We start from the raw sequence: 20,846 nt of genomic DNA, 5'->3' as shown, positions 1-20,846 counted from the left end.
CACATTTCCACTGCATTGCAGGTATTTACACTCCTGCATAGAAAGGGCTGACATGGGAAGGTTCTATGAAGAAGCCTAGTTAATAACGCAGAACTGGAAACCGCACAGTAGTTTGGGATTGATGATGGAGACAGTCTCTGGGTTTTCATCAAAGAACCTAGAAGTCAATTATCTGTACTCTCAGCTGTGTTAAATTCCCAGTCCACTGAACTCTGCATTCAAACGTTAAAAATCTCTCTCATCAGCCTCTTGGGTTTCCAGCTATAACTAACAACCTCAAGGCTGATTACTGCCCAGAGATATTTAGTTGACTCCACATACACTGTGAACTGACTTAAAACATTAAATACATCTGTGTTTACCCAATCAATAACTTTTCCCGTCAAAGAGAGAGAGAGGAAGAAAAAAAATCTATCCGATATTGTTTGGGTTCAATGCTGGCATTTTAGTCTTGGGGTTGAAAACCACTTCCTCCTATGGCCAGAGTTCCTGAGCACACGCCCTCCCTCAAGGGAAGGCATCTGGTCTCCTGGGGCACAGACCAGAGGCCCATGTCTCAGGCCTCCTTAGATCTTGATCTTTATTCGGGGTCAGCCAGTAAATGTTTGCGGAGGAGAATGACACCCCGACTGCTCACAGCCTCGCCCCGTGATTCAACATCCTCACGAGGTCTCCTACTCAGAGAGTGAGATAGGTTTATTGCTTCCTTGCTATCTGCCAGATTTCTGTCACCACACAAGTGGCGTCCCCCAAATCACCAGGGAAGACTGGGAGAGAGGATGAGGACGGGGCAGTGCCACCAGGATGAACATTCTGGAAACACGGCAAATCCCACAACGCCTGGAGCCGTTCCTTCTGCTTCCCGCTCACCCGCTTCCCACTTTTCTCCTCAAGTCTCATCACATGTATCTTCCATCTCCACCCCAGCTGGATGCCAGAGTATGGGGAGTAAAAGCTGACTGCTCTTCCGTAGCCATTAGGGAGGGCATGACCCACTTTGTTCTACTTGCTGGAAGGGTCAGAGATCAACCAGGGCTCTGCCCACTATGCCGGGGCACCCCTTTGCTAACACTGAGGGCCCAAGACAATGCCACACGCAGTAGAAACCAGCCATCAACCAAAAGCTAAAATGTTCCAGCCTGCAGGCTATCACCAGTCATCACAATATAAAGACGTATCAGAGCTCAGCCCGTCGGTGATTTTTATCCTTGTGTTAGTCCTCAATCTTTATGGGAGAGGCATTTTTCAAATCTGTAAGAACAACACTTACAGCGGATTCTGGAAGGATTGGAGAGTGGCAGTGAGCAGCGCTCGGTACCATGTAAGCTGCTGATCACGCTTACCAGGGCCTCCTGGGAGAGGGAAGCGTAGCTTGCAGGGTGAATGCGTACAGACCCAGGGCTGCACCCACCTCCTCACCTTGATGGAGTGGTTTGCCCTCCGGCTCCACTTCCTGGGGCAGACATGAGCCACAGCCTGCTGCTGGCTTTGGGATAGATACATGCTCCTGCCAGGGATGGGGATGGATGCTTGCTTTCACCTCTGGCGGGCCTCCCAGCTGAGGAGTCACCCGTTCATCTGTCACGTGGGTGGCCGGTCTTGGTCGCCTCTCCACGGTGCTCCACCTCCCGGCTGATTTTTCTCCTGAGGTTTTCCTTTCTGTCTTGGTTGTCGGAGAGGCTGCACACAGCTCTGGACGCTGGATTCTAGGCCATTGCTTCCTGGGCCCTTTGCTCCATTCATGGAGGAACCGCCAGGAGGCATTGGGTACCAAGCTGGACATGGGATGGAGAAAGTGAGCAGGAAAGACACAGCAGCATGGGGTGAGGCTTCCTGAGGACCTGGCGGGCAAGGAGCTGCCCGTGAGGGAAGGCCGGGTGCTGCCAGCTGAGACACAGTAGTGAGGTCATCTTCTTTAAGCTACCTGCCTGCTCTCTCAGAGCCAGCTTCCCCACCCAGAAAATGGAAGACGTCACGACCTGGTCTCCCTGCCTCCTCCTTAGCCTCTGATGCTTCCTTTCCTACACATGAGCTGGAGTGATTCTGTAAGACCTAAGTTAGCCCCTAACTTTGTTCTGCTCAAAACCTTCTAGTGGCTTCTCACGTCATCCTGAATCAACATAAAGTCTTTATTAACACTAAGTCCTGCAGGTTCCAGCAGCTCTCCCTCCCTCCGCCAACCTCCTCTCCCCAACAACCCCTTCTGCTGTAGCCACGCTGAGCAGCTCACTCTTGCACACAAAGACACCTGCCTCAGGGCCTTCACACTGGCTGTTTTATTCCCGCTGCCTGGAAGATCTCCCCCTACACCCTCCTCCCACACGTCCTTCCGACCTTGCTCAAATGCCTCCTCCTTTGAGAGGCTGCCCCCAATACCCCTCTCTCCACCATCACTCTTTGTCCCCTGACCCTCTCATTTGCCTTCCACTTGATACAATGTATCTTTTTCCATTTCCTGTTGGTTCTCTTCTATTCTGTTCATGGCTGGATCTCTACACCTAGCCCAGCACCCGGCATATAGTAGCTGCTCAGTGAATATTGGTGAAGTGTGTGGAATTAGTTTAATCCCATACCCCTCGGGAAGCCTCTGAAGATGGAATCTTGGAAGAAATTCACTGGAAATGGACATTTCTCCAGGCTGTTGCACTTGAAGAGTGATTTCCTGCTGGGAGAACCAGTCCCCCCACCACGTTTGCCACCATCAGAACTGCCTGAGAGGGTGCCGATAGTTTGCAATGTCGTATTGTATACTTAAAATTTGCTAAGAGGGTAGATCTTATGCTAAGCATTTTTATCGCAAAATAACAATAATAAGTAAAGAGGGTGGGAGGAAGCTTCTGGAAGGGATGGATATGTTTATGGCATAGACGATGATGGTTTCATATATTTACGGCACAGATGTGGTGGTTTCATATGTTTGTGGAATAGACAGTGATGGTTTCACCATAGGTGGTAATGATTTCACATATTTATGGCATAAAAGGTGGTGGTTTCATACGTTTATGGCACAGATGTTGATGGTTTCACCATAGGTGGTGATGGTTTCATACGTTTATGGCATAGAAGGTGGTTTCGCACCTGTGTACTTATCTCCAGGCCAAACAAGTTGTATCCATTCACTATGTATGCCAGTTACACCTCAGTAGAAATTTTGTAATAAATGAATAGCCTGAGAGGAGCTGGGCCTTCTTCATATGGCCTCATCAGGCCTGCTCTGAACCATAACTCGGGCCTGCAACCCCCAGGTGCAAACCAGCCTCCACAGCTGAGCCTCTGATTAGCCAGATCGTTTGTCTTCTTCCAAAGGCAGCACTGCAGGGCTGGTTGATCTTGAATTTCTGACGCATACATTAAACATCCTCTGCAACCTGCAGGCACTGAGTGGCTGTCCTAAGAGCCCTCTGCACTGCTAATTTTAAAAATGCTTTGAAAAGTATTTTTCCTGATGCATTCCAAGGGCTAACAGCTTGCTTTCCTGTGAAGGCCCAGTGAGTGTCTGAATCACCATGGCAAACCTTACTTGAATGTTTTGGAGATTTCTGCTGATCGTGACGGACTGGATTTAGGGGGAATCCAGCCATGGTTTCCAGCCATGTTGCTCAGATGCTGGGAGGTGGAGAGAATCCCGCTGAGGTTCTCACCTCCATTCTCCAGGGCATTTCTGAAAGCAGAGTTTCCGTCTCATCGTTGAGCCAAGCATCCCATTAGAGCTCAGAAATGACATACGAAAACCATAAAAACAGGCATTGCCCTGTGAGGCGACAATTCTGCTTTTAGGAATTTATCCTAAAGAAATAACTAATGATGTGATTATAAAAGAATTAGCTCCAAGGACATTCATCACAAGCCTGTTTATAGATTGAGAAACTGGAAACAAGCTAAATGTCCAACAAAAAGGGGTTCGTTAAATGTGGCACAACTGTGCAATGGGAGACTAATGACGACCTCATGAAATACCACAGCCTGGGGTCGAAGCTAGCCCACCTCCTGTTTTTGTAAATAAAGTTTTATTGGACATAGCCACACCCATTAATTTACATATCATCTGTGGCTGCTTCTGCACTAAAATGGCAACATTGAGAAGTTGCAGCAGACACCGTATGGCCCACAAAGCCGAGTATATTTACTGTCTGGCACTTTACAGAAGATGTTTGCAGACTCCTGCTATTGGATGACAAGGAAAAATTCGTAATGCCCTGCCCAGTAGGAATATGTTACAAAACTGTGCAATTTTCATAATCCCAGTGGTGACTTAAAAGGACTGTGTATATACATATATGTATTTTTTTTCTTTGTGTCATGGAATTTTGAATGATTTGGAAGAGCATACCTATATTTTCTAACTTTACCTGCTCCTGAACACAGCCTGAGGCAACTTACTTCCATCCTGGTCTCAATTCCTGCCATGTCCAGTGCTTCCTGGGACGACTCTGGATGGTGGTGGCCTCCAAGATGCCCCCCGAGGCCTCTGCCTTATGTGGCCCTCACTGAATCACAGCTGATCCAGGTGACCAGTAGAGTAGAAGGTGATGCTGGGTGACGTCTGAGATTGGGTCACAGAAAGACTTCCAGCCTCACTGTGGTCTCTCAGAAGCTCTGACTTAGGAGCTCTTCGCTGCCCTATGGGAAATCGGTTTCCTCATGTCCACCATGCTGGAGACACCCCAGGAGGGTCTATGTGAAGAGACAGAAATGCCAGCCCCAGCCACTCCAGGCACCTAGAAGACGCCTCTGACAACATGGAGCAGAGATGAGTCATCCTCACAGAGCCCTATCCAAACTGCAGACGCATAAACAAAATAAATGGCTACTGCTGTTTTAAGCCAATAAGTTTTGGAGCTGTTTGTTACACAGCAGTGGATAACGAGAAACCCTGCCAGATAACAAGCTGTCCTTGAATCCCGATCTCAGAGTCTGTTTCTAGGTAACCTCACCCAAGCCCTCTGTGAGCATCTAATGAGTCGTGCGTGCAGTAGCTGTCCTGGAACGCATGCTATCGTCGGTGACTATTCATGTCTCAATGCTAACCTACCCCAAGAGCTTTACAGAGATGTCCAACCACACTTTAACAGGAGCACTGCACAGCACCTGGCCAGGGGCCAAAGGGAGTAGGGACTCTGGCAAGCTGGAGGACATGGGGGCAGTGGAGAAAGTGGCTCTCACCAAGCCTTCACAAGATGCTGCATATTTTTCTTGGGCCAGAGTCACTAACCAAAATGTAGCTGGAGGCACATAGAATTCACATGCAATGATGCTTCGCACAAGGCCACAGCAAATTGAAATCACTTGGCAGCTGCACCCTGGGGCTCTGTGATGGTGCCTGTCACCAAGATCGTGGACTGAGGTCCAGCTCAGTCTGTACCCCACAGCAGCACCTCATCTGTGGAAAGGGCTGCAGATGTGGGGAGAAGAGGGCCTACCCTTTTAGAAGAGGCCAAAAAGTCAGAATTTCAAGCTAGAGTGGAAAGACACACTGCAGGGGAGCTGCCAGGAAGAAGAGTGATTTGATTTCTTAACGGGAGACTCCAAAGGAGTCAGCCCGCGGAGACAAAATCAAAAGAGGCCCGGACTTGGGAGCACAGCCTGGGAACGCAGGCGGGGGCCTCTGGGACTCTTCCAGCTCAGACCAGGCCTGTGTCTGGGGCTTCTGGGGGCAGCCTGGGAACTGGAATTTTCTTGTTCCATAATGGACTTCTCGGACCCTGCAGGTGGCCTGCCCGGGATGGCACTCCCTGTGGTATCAGTGGCTCCTGTCACGGAGGGCACATGCTGGCTCCATGCTCAGGCTGTCCTGTAAATCATCTCACCGAATCCCCACTGTGTCCTTACAGAGCAAGCACGCATGCCTGTGTCCTCCAGAGAAGCAAGCCAGGCCCGAGGAATGGGCGGCCGATGGCTCCAGGAAGGTCACTGACTTTGGAGGGAACTTGGGATCTCCTCCCCACTCTCTCTGTCCTCAAGGCCCATCTTTTTAAAATCAACTTTTTGGGATGTAATTGACATATAATAAAACCATCTTAGGTGTACAGCTTGATGAATTTTGTCCCACGTATACAGCTGGGTAACGACAGGAATCTGGACATGAGGTTTGCGTGGGCAGCCAAGCTGGGGCCTCAGGATGCCCTTCGTTCTGAACTTGGCTGCCATGCCAGGGCCTCGGGATGCCCTTCCTTCTGAACTTGGCTGCCTGGCCATCTCACAGTTCCACTTTGTCAACTCTTTGAAGTCTGGGAGAAGTGACTCACCTGAATTTTTTTTCTTTTCTACATTCCCACCATTGTCCCATCTCCTTCCCTGCTTTGGACAAAGATTTCTCTTTTCCACGTGATGGGAGGGGGATTGTAAACATCCCAAGCTTTGGAATCAAAAGACCTAGGCTCACACCGCAGCCCTGCTATGTGACTCCGGGCACGTGACTTAACTTCTCTGGGCTCCTTTCTTCATCTGTGTAAAACAGAGATCATAATGGACCCTCTAAGGTCATTGGGAGACTAAAAGGAGGTATTATATGCAAACAATAAATATTATTATTTTGAATTGCACTGGCTTTAATGACACAAATGTGAAGAAAAGGGTAGGATTGTAGGGGAAGCCTGGGAAAAGGAGAGATTAAAAGACAAAAACAATTTCAACTTTTCTGAAAAACATCCCAATGCTCTAAGTCAAAATCTGTTTTTCAGTTGTCATAGCACTGTGCCCCTGTGCCCCGAGTCTTCTGATCTCAGTTGGAAAAGGGCTGCTTTCTCCAGCAAGAAGCCCTGGAAACAGCACCGAGGTTCAGTGTCAGAATGGGCTCCCGGCCCTCGAGACATCGGGTACAATCTGGTCTGACCAGACCTGGCGTGTTTTCCTGGGTGCTCAGGATTGTCTAGACGTGGCCTGGCCATGTCCGAGCATGTGAAACGTAGTTGTGGGGCCTGATGGCTCCATTTGGCAGCAGCCTGGGCCAAGTGATTGGCGCCGAGACCATGAGGATGACAAAGTGCTGAAACCTCCCTGAGACAGGCGTCATATCAGATTGTGCTGCTGCCAGCGCAGGGCTTCCAGGCACGGCAAGCGCATCCTCAGCACCTGATGGAGAGATAGCGCAGTAGACGTGACAGCAGCCAGCCGAGGAGCTGGCCAGGTGAGTCCGAGGACTCTCTGGGGGCAGTCATCTCTCCCCAGGGAAGTCAGTGTGGGTGGTAGACAGAGCACTGGCCCTGTTCATGCCACAGGCCAGAGACGAGAGACGAAACTGCCAAATAATGAAGAGTGGAGACCCTTATGTCGTATGCAATGTGTGGGTCTCTTTTGCAGCTTGACCTGAATAGATAGGGATAGGTAGTTGGATAGAGAGTTAGACACATGATAGGTGGATGGATAAATGGATGGAAAGACAGATGGATAGATGACAGAGAGATGGAGAGATAGATGGCTAGATGGAGAGAAAAAGAAAGCTAGATAGATGGGAAATAGGTGGATGAATGAATAGATGGAGAAAAAGAGACAGGTAGATGAATGAATGGATAGATAGATAATAGAAAGATAATTGATAGATAAAGAGAGATATGATAAGTAGATGGATAAATAGGTGGAAATACAGATAGAAGATAGATAACAAAAATGGATAGATGGAGAAAGAAAGCTAGATAGCTGGAAGGTAGGTGGATGGATGAAAGATGGAGAGAAAGGGAGAGATAGATGAATGAATGAATGTATGAATGAATGAATGAATCGATAGATGATTGATAGATGGAGAGATAGAGGTAATAGGTGGATGGATAAGTAGATGGCAAGATGATAGACAAATGGAGGATAGATAGAGAATAGATAATATAGATGAATGGATATATATACATAAAGAAAAAGATGCAGCTAGGGATTCGGATATGTATTTTGCTAACTGGGAAAATTTGAGCAATGATTGCGTGTTTGATTATTTGGAAGAATTACTGTCACTGTCAGGTGTGCTGATGTCACTGTACAGAGAGCAGGTGCAAGGCCAGGCCCAGCCCATTGGAACCTTCCATGACCTTCATGTATCCACACTGAGGGGACAGAGGCTTCCATTCACCTGTTCACCTCTCAGACCCAACAAGGTTAGAATAAAAGAGAGGAATAAAATAAAGTCCCAGACACTGTCAGATCCTCCCAGTGGTGTGGAGGAGGCAAAGGTAAACACGGCTGGGCTTATGTTCTCAGGGTACCCTGTTCCATGCTTGGCCCACTAGCCACGTGCAGCTATTTAAATTTAAACCCTTAAATCTAGGTGAAATTTTAAAACCAGTTCCTCAGTGACACCAGCCACAGCTCAAGTGCTCTAAGAGCCGCAAGTGGCCAGCAGCAACTGTATGGGACTCTGCAGTTCTATAACATTCCATCACCCCAGAAAGACATCCCTGCTGGGAGAGTCCAGGTCTGAGAATAGATGCAGCTCCTATTAGGGCAATGAGCAGAGAGGTGCTTCGAGGCACAGGGAGTGCAGATGAAGACCACCACATGTCCCACAGGAGGAGCGAAGGAAATGGCTCAGGTCCACCCAGCAGCCCTTCCTTCCGGGACCCTTCTCTCCATTCCCTCTGTGCTCACAGAACGTGGCGTCAGGTGCAGAGAGTAGGCATTAGTCAGCCTATCCAGTATGTTCATTTATCCATGAAGGCTGCTTGTTAACCAGCCACGGCCTCCCCATTTACTGACTTCCCAAGTGAGGCCTCAGATGTCGCAGGGAGGCCCTGGGTCTGCGTCTGGAGTTTCTTCTGAAATCTGAGTTTAAATGTGAGTCCCACTGTCTCTCCCCAAGTTTCCATTCCCAGATTCGCATTGAGTGGCGCTCCGCACACAAAGCAGGCCAGCGACGCCACCAGCTCCCCTCTGGTGGGCGAGCCCCAGAAATAGCCCTCCCTGGCAGCCCAATCATGGTTCACCACTAACAACTGAGGCCCATCCACCCACCCCGCCTGGACCTGAGCCCCAACACCCCAACCGTCTGTTTTCTGCCGATGTCACCAATTTCTAAATGACCTAGAACTAAACCGTATCATTAGTCCTTTCAGTATCTGTTGGTGACAGAGAAAACCACAAGTGGCCTTTCTGCCCTGAGCCTCTGTGACCCTTGAGCTGAGATGACATGAAGGGCACCAAGGCCAGCTCTCTCCATGAGGAGGGGAGCTCCTCCCTCCACATGTCCTCAGTGCCCACCTCTTGGGCTTCAGATCAACCCCAGACCTTTCCGGATACCACGTAGTTTTCTTTCTTTTTCTTTCTTTCTTTCTTTCTTTCTCTCTTTCTTTCTTTCTCTCTTTCTCTCTTTCTCTCTTTCTCTCTTTCTTCTTTCTTTCTTTCCTTTCTTTCTTTCTCTCTCTTTCCTTCCTTCCTTACTTTCTCTCTTTCTCTCTCTCTCTCTTTCTTTTCTTTTCTTTTTTTGAGACAGCGTCTTGCTCTGTTGCCCAGGCTGGACTACAGTGGCCCAATCATAGCTCACTGCAGCCTTGACCTCCTGGGCTCCAGCAGTCCTCCCACTTCAGCCTCCCAAGTAGCAGGGACTACAGGCACACGCCACCACGTCTAGCTAATTTTGTCTATGTTTTGTAGAGACCAGGTTTCAGTGTGTTGCCCAGGCTGGTCTTGAACTCCTGGCCTCAAGCAATTCTCCCGTGTTGGCTGGCCTCCCAAAGCGCTGGCGTTATAGGCATGAACCACCACGCCCAGCCTAGTTTTCTGTTTTGATCAAACATCTCCTCTGGAGTTGATGGAAGCTGGCTGCCTGAGTGACTTTTAAGGTGCCCAGGCTCCAGGTGGTCATGATGAAAGGATTTACTGGGAAGGGGGATTTGGACAATTTGGATGCTCTGTGACTTGATTTCTTCCTTTGCTTGATTAGCATGGGGGCCTAAAGGAGTAACATACAAATGTCAATCCCAGCACTAGCATGGTTGAAGGAGGAAGAACTGGGCCTGCTGGCACTGGGAGCTGGAGATGAGATGGAGAAAACGGAACCCTGGGATGGGCTGTGGGGCCTGGCGACGGGAGGAGCCTCAAGGCTGGGGGCGTTTGGTGATGTGGTGCTGCTCTGGAGTGCACTGCAGCAGGCAGCAGGTGGCCGTCAGGGGCCGGAGCTCCAGCAGGTGGGCAGGGCCCAGCCCGGCGGCAAGGGAGCAGAAGCCAGAGGTGGCGAGATTTGGACAAAGTTCCTGAGGCCCTTGGTGACAGAGGATTCAGTGACAAGAGAACGGAGCCCAGAAGAAGAGGGGAACATCCCACAGAGACCCCCTCCTGAGTAAATGAGAGAATCAGACCAGAGCACCGGTCCCAGCAGCAAGGCAGGAAGACACACACTCAAGCAGACCGTGCTGGGGTTTGGGTCACAGGGAAAAGGTTAACAGCCCTGTTGCTAGTCCATGCTTGCCGCAGAGAGGCTCTGAGATGATGGTGGACGCCAGCGCCAGTGGCCAGACCCTTTACAAACTCAAGGCCTGGTCTGTTCTGCATCGCGTGGATCCTGTGCCCTCCGTCTACACACCACATAGGGTCACCGTGCTCAGTGACTCCTCCCAGGCTCGGAGCTCCGTGGGGCAGGACCTGGTCTGTGTCCTCCGGCTGCAGATTAAGGGCTTCGCAGCTGGTTCTCAGGAAGGCTGTGAGGGGTGTGGGGCAGGGATGGAAGGAGGAAGAGGAAAAAGCAGAGAGAGATGGAAGAAGAAATAAAGAAGAGATGGAAGGGTAGGAGAAAGGGAAAGAGGAAGGAAGATGTCCAGTCCTTAAGACGGCACCAGCCATTGGTGCCACAATGACCTAGCAGCTCCCATCTGATGGGGGCTCCGAAGGGTGCACAGGCTGGCCCTTTAGGGAGCTGTAGGGGCAGAAGAGTGTGCACAGCATTCTAAGAGAGTAAAGAGAGGAGAAAAATCAATGGCAGGCCGGGTGCAGTGGCTCATGCCTATAATCCCAGCACTTTGGGAGCCTGAGGCAGGTGGATCACTTGAGGTCAGGAGCTCGAAACCAGCCTGCCCAACATGGTGAAACCCCATCTCTACTAAAAATACAAAAAGTAGCCAGGCATGGCTGCAGGCACTTGTAGTCCCAGCTACTCAGGAGGCTGAGGCAGGAGAATCGCTTGAACCCAGGAGGCGAATGTTGCAGTGAGCCAAGATTGCACCGTTGCACTCCAGTCTGGGCGACAAGAGCAAAACTCCGTCCAAAAAAAAAAAAAAAGTCAGCATCAGCTGCCCCATCTTTCAGCCTATCTGGGAGTGAGACCAGCTTGCTCTCGGTGGTTCCTTCACCCTCGAAACACCTCTTCCCCACTGTGTTCCTCACAGCTTTGGTGTTTTCTGATTACAAAAGTAGTACACATGCATTTCAGGGAATTCAGAAAGCCCAGAATACCAGAGAACAAAATAAAAGAGGTCTTTAGATCCCACCACACATAAAATGTTGATGTTTACACTTGCAGATTCTCTTTCTTAACAAATAGAAAATCACAAACATAAGTGTGAGTATGGATGTGTGTGTTCTTATAAGTAGAGAATGGATTTATAGAAATGCTCTTTTGGAACTTGTTTTTTCCCCACTTAACATGTCATCATAACTTTTTCATGGTATTAAAAACATACAGCAATATCACCCTCTTTCATGGCTCTGCTGTATTCCACTGTATGGATAACTCATCACTTATTTAACCAGCTGTATCCATTAGGAGTGTGTTTGGCTGAACATAATAGACAACCCAGCCACAATGGCTTTAAAAATCAGGTTTATCTTCTCACATGTGCCAAAGTCATGGCCAGTGGTTCAGCAGGTTAACAACAGAGTCCACGTCTCTGCTGCTTTCTTGGCCATTCCTCATGGCACAAGGTGACTGCTGCAGCTCCAGACATCACATCCACATCAAGATAAGAAGGATGGGGGTGATGTTTTATAAAGAACACAAAGCTTCCCAGAAGTTCCTCCAGAAGACTTCTGCCTTGTGTTATGAGCCAGCATCAGCTCATGCAGCCACTTGTGACTGCAAGTGGGGCTGGGGAGGCCCTTGTTTGACCTGCAGTCTTTATGGCAGGAAACTGAGAGGATGCAAGGAGCCTGGAGGAAGACGAGGGATGGTGTTGGGTGGCCAGCAAATGGTGTCTGCCACACCTGCCCTCTGTTGAGAGCAAGATTCTCCTTCAGTTAATGCCGCCCCTTTGGGGTGCAGCAGAACCCCAGGTGTCCCTGCTACATGCACCCAGGCTTGAGTCCTCCCCAGTGCTCCAGGGACCCACTGACACAGCTCCAGCTGCCCCTTGGCCAGTAGAACTTCTAGTCCAATGCCTGCTCCCTCGAGCTTCTATGGATTTGATGCAGGGTGGGCGAACCCCAGATTGGGGCTTAACCAGGGCTTTTGCTTCACCCAGGAAAGAATTCAAGGGTGGGCTGGTGGTGGAAGAAAACAGCTTGACTGAAGCGGCACCATTGCAGCTCAGGCAGCGCGACAGCTCCGTGGCTGCTCCCGCAGAGCTGGGCTAACCCTTAGGCAGTGTGCTGAGAGCAGCAGCTCCCGGCAGTCCGGCAGTCATATTGATACCTACTTTTAATTGCATGCAGATGCAGGGGCGGTTTATGCAGAAATTTCTAGGGAAAAGGTAGTAACATCTGGGTCGTCGGAGTCATTTCCGTGGAAAGGAGTGGTAACGCCCACGCCCACTGACTGGGCACACTGATGGGCGTGGCTTATGGAGAGCTGCTTCCACCCCACCCTGTTTTAGCCAGTCCTCAGTCTGGTTCAGTGTCCAAGCCCCGCCTCCACAGTCGAGTCCCACCTCCTACCTCCTACCTCAGATTCATACCTGAGCTTCAATAGGAGCCTCTGGGAGCCAGCGCCCTGCTCCAAGAGAACGGCGGGAATGGCGGGATTCAGGCATGGGGGCAGCTCCGTGAGGGAGGTATTTGGGGACAGGTAGAGTTTTCACATCACCTCACATCATTTAGGGAACCACGCACGCAGTTGCGCACAGAGGGCAAAGCCAAGTCAGAAGGATGTGGTGCTGGCAAGCAGACCACTTTATGTTGCAGACAGCAACCGTGATCGCTGACACTTAGGAAGGCTCCCCATACACCAGCGGCTGTGCTGAGCACTTCACATCTACTTTCACTTTCCTCTTCACATCTGCCAGGGAAGAGATCCCAAATGCTCCACAGCCACTATAGCACAGGCACCAACCAGCAAGGGTGGACCCGCCAGCGCTGTCCTGTCCTGCAGGGCCCCTTGGACACACCCTACTGAACCAAGCATGAACCTTTCATTTTTGAATCATGGGACGAGTCCCCAGCTGGAGCAGAGGCTGCCAAGATGGCAAGGGGAGGCTCTCAGACGGCTGGACAGGGTTTGCTTATCAAGCTTGGCAACGTTTTAAAACTCAGCCCAGTCTGCAACTGTATACAGGCCGAATCTCAGAGAAAGCTTTCAAAGGGGCATAGGCTCCACCTGAAGATGGTGTGTTAGTCTGATTTTTGCGGCAATCACGCCACATACCGTCCCGCCCTCATCACAGTGGCTTAACAAAAGGTATTGTATTTTGTGCTCACAATACACAAAAGGGCGGCTGCGGCCTGGCTGATCTCTACTGGGCTCAGTTGTGCCAGGTTGGATCCTGGGCTGTGGGTCAAAGTCAAGGTCAAGTTTGCTCCCTGAGGTTCAGGATCTCTTTCTGAAACCCAGGCTGAAGGGCAGTGCCACCCAGGGCATGTTGTTCTCGGGGCAGAGGCCAGAAGGACAGGTCCCCTAAAGGCTCAGCTGGGAAACATGTACACCACTTCTGTCCCAGTTCAAGGGATAGAAAGTCACTCCACCTGCAGGCAGTTGGGGTTGGGGCAGGAAGGGAAGACTTGTGGACTTAATCAACCTATAGCGTGCAATAGAATTGAGGTAGACAGACAAGCACAGACATAGCTTGAACAAAGGCATGGAGGGAGGGTTATGGATGGCTTCCTAGAACAACCAAAGCCACAGGAAAAAGAGATGATTCTGTTTCTTTGTGTTTGAAAAAACAATATGGCAACCCCAGACGCATTTTGCAGAGATTTTACAAGAAGAACTTCTCATCATCCAGGAGAAGGCCCTTCTCTAGAGTCTTATCATTCCATTATTTTTAAATGAGAATGTGTTTACCCCAAAAGTTAAACAGGAAAAGGGGCTACCTAGTTCTCAAAGGCCACACACAGGCCATATGACAGAGCCCTCCGGTCATAACACCAGCATGTGAAAGGCACTGCAAAGCGAGGCTGAGTTGTCAGCATTGTACGTTCTGCTTATAAGATTAATCGTGATGGCCAGGCTGTGTGGCTCACGCCTGTAATCCCAGCACTTTGAGAGGCTGAGGCGGGCGGATCACCGAAGGTTGGGAGTTCGAGACCAGCCTGACCAACACAGAGAAACCCCATCTCTACTAAAAATACAAAAATTACCTGGGCATGGTGGCGGGCGCCTGTAATCCCAGCTACTCGGGAGGCTGAGGCAGGAGAATCACTTGAACCTGGGGGGTGGAGGTTGCAGTGAGCCGAGACCAAGCCATTGTACTCCAGCCTGGGCAACAAGAGTGAACCTCCATCTCAAAAATAAATAAATAAATAAATGAATAAATAAATAAATAAAAATTAATCCTGATGAATGAAGCGCTCAAGAGCCCCTGAAGGAGGCGTCTGACGCAGTAAGGTATGGCAAGCACTGAAGCAGTGGTGCTCATTACAGAGTGTGGCTGTTATCTCTTTAATAGTGACAATAGCAGGTAATGTTAACGGCACAGTCAAGATTCTCTTGGAAAAAAAATTTTTTGTTGTAGCAATGGCTGTAGGTACTTCTGAAAAAGCAAGCTGTCATTCAAGGCACCCTTCATTGGTACAGGATGTTAAACAGGTTATGGAATAAGAAAATCCATGTGGGAGCACCTACTGGTTCAAACAACCTGTGTGAAGGACAAGATGCTTGTATGTAGTAAGTTTTCTTTAAAGAATTACCTCTCCTTTGACTTAGAGTTCTTCTGCGAGAAATGTATCTGGAAAGGCACTCTCATAAATGTGCCCAATAGCCATACGAGGGTTTTCACTGTAGCACCATTTGTCGTAGCAAATAACTGGAAGCAACCCAAGTATTCACTAAAAAGGGATTGGTTAAATGAACTACAATCCAGGGAAAACCACCCAGCCACGAAAGAGCAAAAGATCCGTGTGTGTAATCATGGAAAATGCCCAAAGTCTATCATTAAGTGAAAAAGAAGCAATAAAGCAGGAAGTAAGGTCATTTCCTATTTTTTATTAAAAAGAAATAAAAATAATAGCTGCTGGATTTTTCATGCAAATATGTTCCAAATGTCTGTAACTGTGGTTATCCCGAGAGCGAGGACTGATACCCACTACATTATAGATTTATTTCATTGTTATTTGAATTTTTAAAAATAACTGTATGTAGCTAGGCACCATGGCTCAGGCCTGTAATCCCAGCACACTGGGAAGCCGAGGAGGGCAAACTGCTTGAGCCTAGGAGTTCAAGATCAGCCTGGGCAACATAGCAAAGTCCCATCTCTACAAAAAAAAAATACAAAAAATTGGCCAGGTGTGGTGGTGCGTGCCTGTAGTCCCAGCTACTTGGGAGGCTGAGGCAGGAGAATCGCTTGAGCTCAGGAGGTCGAGGCTGCAGTGAGCTGAGGTGGTACCACCGCACTCCAGCCTCAGCGACAGAGTGAGACCCTGTCTCAAAAATAACATAAAATTAAATTAACTGTGTGTCACTTATTTATAAACATGTTTAAATACAATATAACTGAACAAAAATAATTAGTATAAAATCACCGATTAAAATCCCAGAAAGTGAGATGAATAAAATGTTTTAAAAATAAAATCTTTTCTACATCTGTAATGTTTGGATTTTTTACAAACACTTACTAATTTTACTGTCAGTAAATGACCAAAAAAGTCTTTGAAACTCATCTGCTGGGACTTTGTAAACCTTTGGAGAAGTTGTTTATTATTATTATTATTAATTCTCCTGGATACTGTTTCTTTCTCTACTAAGGCATAGTAAATATTTACATTTACTTCACTTTGAAGGAACCAAGAAGAATCTTCCAGGCCTTCACTGAGTGCTTTGAATCCAATTTAAGTAAAGAAGTGCGCCAAATATTACCAGAGTTGATCACTTGTGTGCTAGTTTGCTTTCTAATAATTTCACGAATAAAAAAAAAATTAGGTCCCTCAATATAAGCAAAACCTGGGGTGATGGTGAGGCATATATAGTAGACAACAAACAACCAAAAAATCATCCTTTGGATTTTTGTTGATCAGATACTCAGGTGCCTTCACACACCCTCCCATCCCATTTGCACTTTTGAAGATCCCCGGGTCTTATTTTCTGAATGAGTGGATTCCTTCTGAAACCAGCATGCCTCAACTATTACTGTCATTCAGAAGCATGCAAAATAAATGATTCTGAATAATAATAACTTATCATGTACGTCCACACCCCAGTCCAACAAAGACCTCACACCAACGTGTCTGACAACATCAAATACACAAAAAAACCAAACTGAAAACTCCACTAGACATAAATACGTAGGTGCACACATACATAAACATAAAAGCCCGCAGTAGCCAGCATTCATCAGATTCAGCATGTCGTGGTCGCTGTAGGGAGCGGGAGGCCAAGGGGAGGCTGATCCACACATCTACGTGGCCTTAGAGTGCTCCCCAAATAAAATAAGTGTCTCTGCAGACATGCCTGGGAAGCCGCTCCAAGTAGCAGAAAAAAAAAAAATCTAAATCAACCTTTCTGTGTCGCCTGTGTTATCTTTGAGCTTCTCTGGGTCTTAATTTTTATCTGGAAAGTGGGGCCAGCTATACCTGCCTAGCAAGGAACACAGGCTGAGCCCCTGCCATGTGTCTGCTGGCATGCCGAGCCCTGGGGGTACAGAACAAAAGCCATATAGAACATGCTTCAGGGAACATGTGGAAAAGACGTGAGACCTTGTAAACTATGTGAATGTTGTCTATTTGCTATCAGAGCCCACGTCTCAATTTCACAAACAATTTGAAATGCAAAGTAGAGTTTAGCACTGTGCACCAAAAATTCTGGTTTCCCTCCTACAGAATTACACACCTCTGCCCCATTTAAGTCCAGCTTGGCCACATGACTTGCTTGGCCTAATGAAATATGAGTGGAAATGCCTGTCACTTTAAGAACCAGACCGTAGTTCGCCAAGCCCTTTTCCCTCAGCTCCAGGTAACAATGTTGCAAATGAAAGCGGCTTCCTCCTCCTGGGTTCTGGGTTGAACACCTGAAGAAAACATGGAACACAGCCATGCTGACCTGCAAGGGACACTCAGTACTAGCTAGAAATAGAAAGCCACTGACATCCAAAGGGGATTTGCTACTGCCACATAACCTAGGCCGCCCTGGCAGCTACTAAAATGGAAATGCTTGTTTGAGTGACTGGAGCAAGCATACAGATCTCAGAGGGTGTGCTTCGTGCAAACAGGCAAGCTTTTAGAAAAGAAGAGACATTTTTTACAAGTCCCTTAAAGTCACACTGATGCATTTGTAGTCAGGCTATAATGATCTTTGACATCTTGCATGGACTTGCCTCCCAGAGCCAACCCAGATTCAGCAGCTTTCGAAATTCTAAAGCACAGGTTACAGGTTTCTGCGCATTTTACAAAATTCAAAAGTATCAACACAGGAAAAAAAATTTCCAAAGCTGGACTTCTACATAAACAAAGACAACCCGAAGAGAATGTGACAGATACTCTCGCTTCGTGCCTCTAAACCAGGACATGCAAGCCTGGACTTGGAGTTAAAAACAAAGGCAGCCCCCCTGCCTGGACCATCACTTTTACTTAAGGAGTTTGGTCTGGAGGGGCTTGCTTCTGTCCGTCTTCTTTTTTTAGGGGGCATTTTTAATTCTTGTTTAAGAGATCCTTTTCTGTATCAAAGTCAGGAATATATCCACCTGCATTTTCCACTAAAACTTTTAAAGTTTTGCTTTTTACATTTTAGTTCTTAATCCATCTGGGCTGTGTGTGTGTGTGTGTGTGTGTGTGTGTGTGTGTGTGGTGAGAATAGAGATGCAATTTCACTTTTAATCTATGTGGATAACCAATTACACCAGCACGTTTACTCAATAAACCCTGCCATCTCTCTCATACATGCAGATTATTTTTATAGTAATCTGAAAGTGTAGCTGTTATTAGAGAATGCAACATTTGCATGAGTTTCCGTAGATAAAATATGAGTTCAGCAATTGTCAAAACTCTTTTGGTTGCAAGAGAAAAAACCTAACTCAAACTGGCTTAAACAGTGTGTGTGAGTGTGTGTGTGTGTGATTCTATGTGTGTGTGAGTGTGTGTGTGTGATTCTATGTGTGTGTGTGAGTGTGTGGCTTCCCTGAGGGAGGCACGGTGGCTCCTGTACTCCAGACTTTGTGTCCTAACCCTCTGAGCTACCCTGCCAAGCAGGGAAATTTTTATTTATTTATTTATTTATTTACTTTTTAATTTTTTTTTTTTTTTTTTGGTGACAGAGTCTTGCTCTGTCACCCAGGCTGGAGTGCAGTGGCGCAATCTCGGCTCACTGCAAGCTCTGCCTCCCGGGTTCACACCATTCTCCTGCCTCAGCCTCCCCAGTAGCTGGGACTACAGGCACCTGCCACCACGCCCGGCTAACTTTTGTATTTTTAGTAGAGATGGGGTTTTACCGTGGTCTCGATCTCCTGACCTCATGATCCTCCCACCTCAGCCTCCCAAAGTGCTGGGATTACAGGCGTGAGCCACTGCGACCGGCCCAAACAGGGAAATGTTTTTCCCAATGGTCCATGACCACTGGGTCACTGTGGCTTATATGGGTCCCAGGTGCACCCCTGGCCCCAGCACTGTCCAGGGGTTATGTGGGGTAGTTGACTGATTGGCGAATTTGAATTCCTCAACCACTTCTGGACACAGAAGTAAAGTAACCTGGACGGGCGCAGTGGCTCATGCCTGTAATCTCAGCACTTTGGGAGGCCAAGGCGGGTGGATCACCTGAGGTCAGGAGTTCGAGACCAGCCTGGCCAACATAGTGAAACCCCATCTCTACTAAAAATACAAAAAAAAAAAAAATTAGCTGGGTGTAGTGGCAGGCACCTGTAATCCCAGCTACTTGGAAGGCTGAGGCAGAAGAATGGCTTGAATCTGGGAGACGGAGGTTGCAGTGAGCCGAGATCATGCCACTGCACTACAGCCTGGGTGACAGAGCAAGACTCTGTCTCAAAAAAAAAAAAGAAAGAAAAAAAAGAAAAAGAAAAAGAAAAAACTTAGAGAAGCATGGTGGCAGGCACCTGTAATCCCAGGTACTTGGGAGGCTGAGGCAGGAGAATGGCTTGAACCTGGGAGGCGGAGCTTGCAGTGAGCCAAGATCGCGCCACTGCACACCAGCCTGGGTAACAAGAACAAAACTCCATCTCAAAACAAAAGAAGTAAAGTAACCCCATCCAAACCAAAGGGACTGAATGTGGGGGAGCAGTGACCTCCATGGAAAGCCACAGTGCTGATGCCAGAAGACAAAGAAATGATACTGAGTCAATTTATTACTAAGCGATCATAGAATAAATCTCTGCGTCATTGACACTTATTTTCTTCTTATTGAATAGTAACTAGAAGGATGATTTAGTCCAAATCGTGTATAAGTGAAGAGGCTCACATCCAGCGTACAATGTGATTCAAGGTCACCCAGCTGCTCCAGGAGACCAGGTGTTGTTTCCCTCCACGGATTTGAGTCACCCAGTAGTTCAAACCACTGGTGTATGTATTCACATCTGACATAACACGAATCTTCAAAAGAACGGTACAGAAAAAGCAGAGCCAATCAGTATCCATAGTTATTCTTACAAATAACCCATTAACAATAATTTTTGCAATGAATTCAACTACATTTTGTAAAATGTGGTGCTAGGGTTTTGATTTTGTTTTTAATTCCCAGATGAAAAGGTGCTTGCATCTGGTTCGGATTCCAAGATTCTAACTAGCACTTGCAGTGGGATCTGCAGTGATGTATCCTAAGAGTCAAGTAACCCCTGAAAGTGCTTATTCTGCAAATCGGACAACTCGTCTGTCTCTGCTCTCTGATTACTAGGGGATAATATCCCTTCCTGATAAGAGAACTTAACTGGGAGGATTTTTCAAATCACTGCAGGAAAGCATATTCTTGCAAGGTATTTTGGAGGTAAAAGTAATAATTTTTTCCTCTTTATGTCCTTCTGGAAAGAATGTGTGGGCTCATTCCACCTGAATGTCCTTGGCTGTCCCTCTTAGAGGTAGTGAGAAAGGCTTTGAAATAGAGTGTGGGCTCTGAAATGAAAGATGCAAAAACAGATGCTACAACATGGAATGAAAGCAACATGCTTTTCTTCAACATAAGATTTCCTCCCCCAAACAGCATCAGAGACTGTCAGAAGCTGGGCGCCTTTCCAAAGGTCACAGAAGGGGCCAAAACGTATAATTTTAGCCTTTTCAGATGGCCATTTCTGTCTCTAAAATGTTAAATCGTGTCTCACCACAGTTGCAAAATCCTCGCACACAGCCCAGAGGGTGAGCCCTAGCCTCTTGGTCTCCAGGCACGGAAGACTACAGGAGACTAAACAACCACCAAGCTTCTCCCGAGGCCAACAGAAGGGCTGTGCTGCTGCCCTGAGCATTGCAGGAAAGGGCCGTACTCAGGAGGCAGGAGGCCTCGGTTCAAGAGGTGTCCTTGCTTCCTGAGAGCACCGTGGCCCCGGCTGAACCACCCGTCTACCCTGGCCACAGACGACTCAGCTGTGAAGTGAGGAAGGTAGAGTTTGCTCATTTGCATCATGGGGTGGCAGCTGGCC

The 20,846-nt window shown here is 47.9% G+C and overlaps 1 annotated feature.

Moving 5' to 3' along the window:
* Positions 10,084-10,605: an enhancer, noted in NCBI's record as "H3K4me1 hESC enhancer chr16:86655227-86655748 (GRCh37/hg19 assembly coordinates)". NCBI's record gives its function as "activates a minimal SCP1, AML or CMV promoter by ChIP-STARR-seq in naive H9 embryonic stem cells {active_cell/tissue: H9 hESC(naive)}" and the evidence as "EXISTENCE:reporter gene assay evidence [ECO:0000049][PMID:30033119]".

This window comes from Homo sapiens, chromosome 16 (genome assembly GCF_000001405.40).
Source record: "Homo sapiens chromosome 16, GRCh38.p14 Primary Assembly".
In the NCBI taxonomy this organism is placed as follows: domain Eukaryota; kingdom Metazoa; phylum Chordata; class Mammalia; order Primates; family Hominidae; genus Homo; species Homo sapiens.
This window is presented reverse-complemented; position numbering and strand designations above follow the sequence as displayed.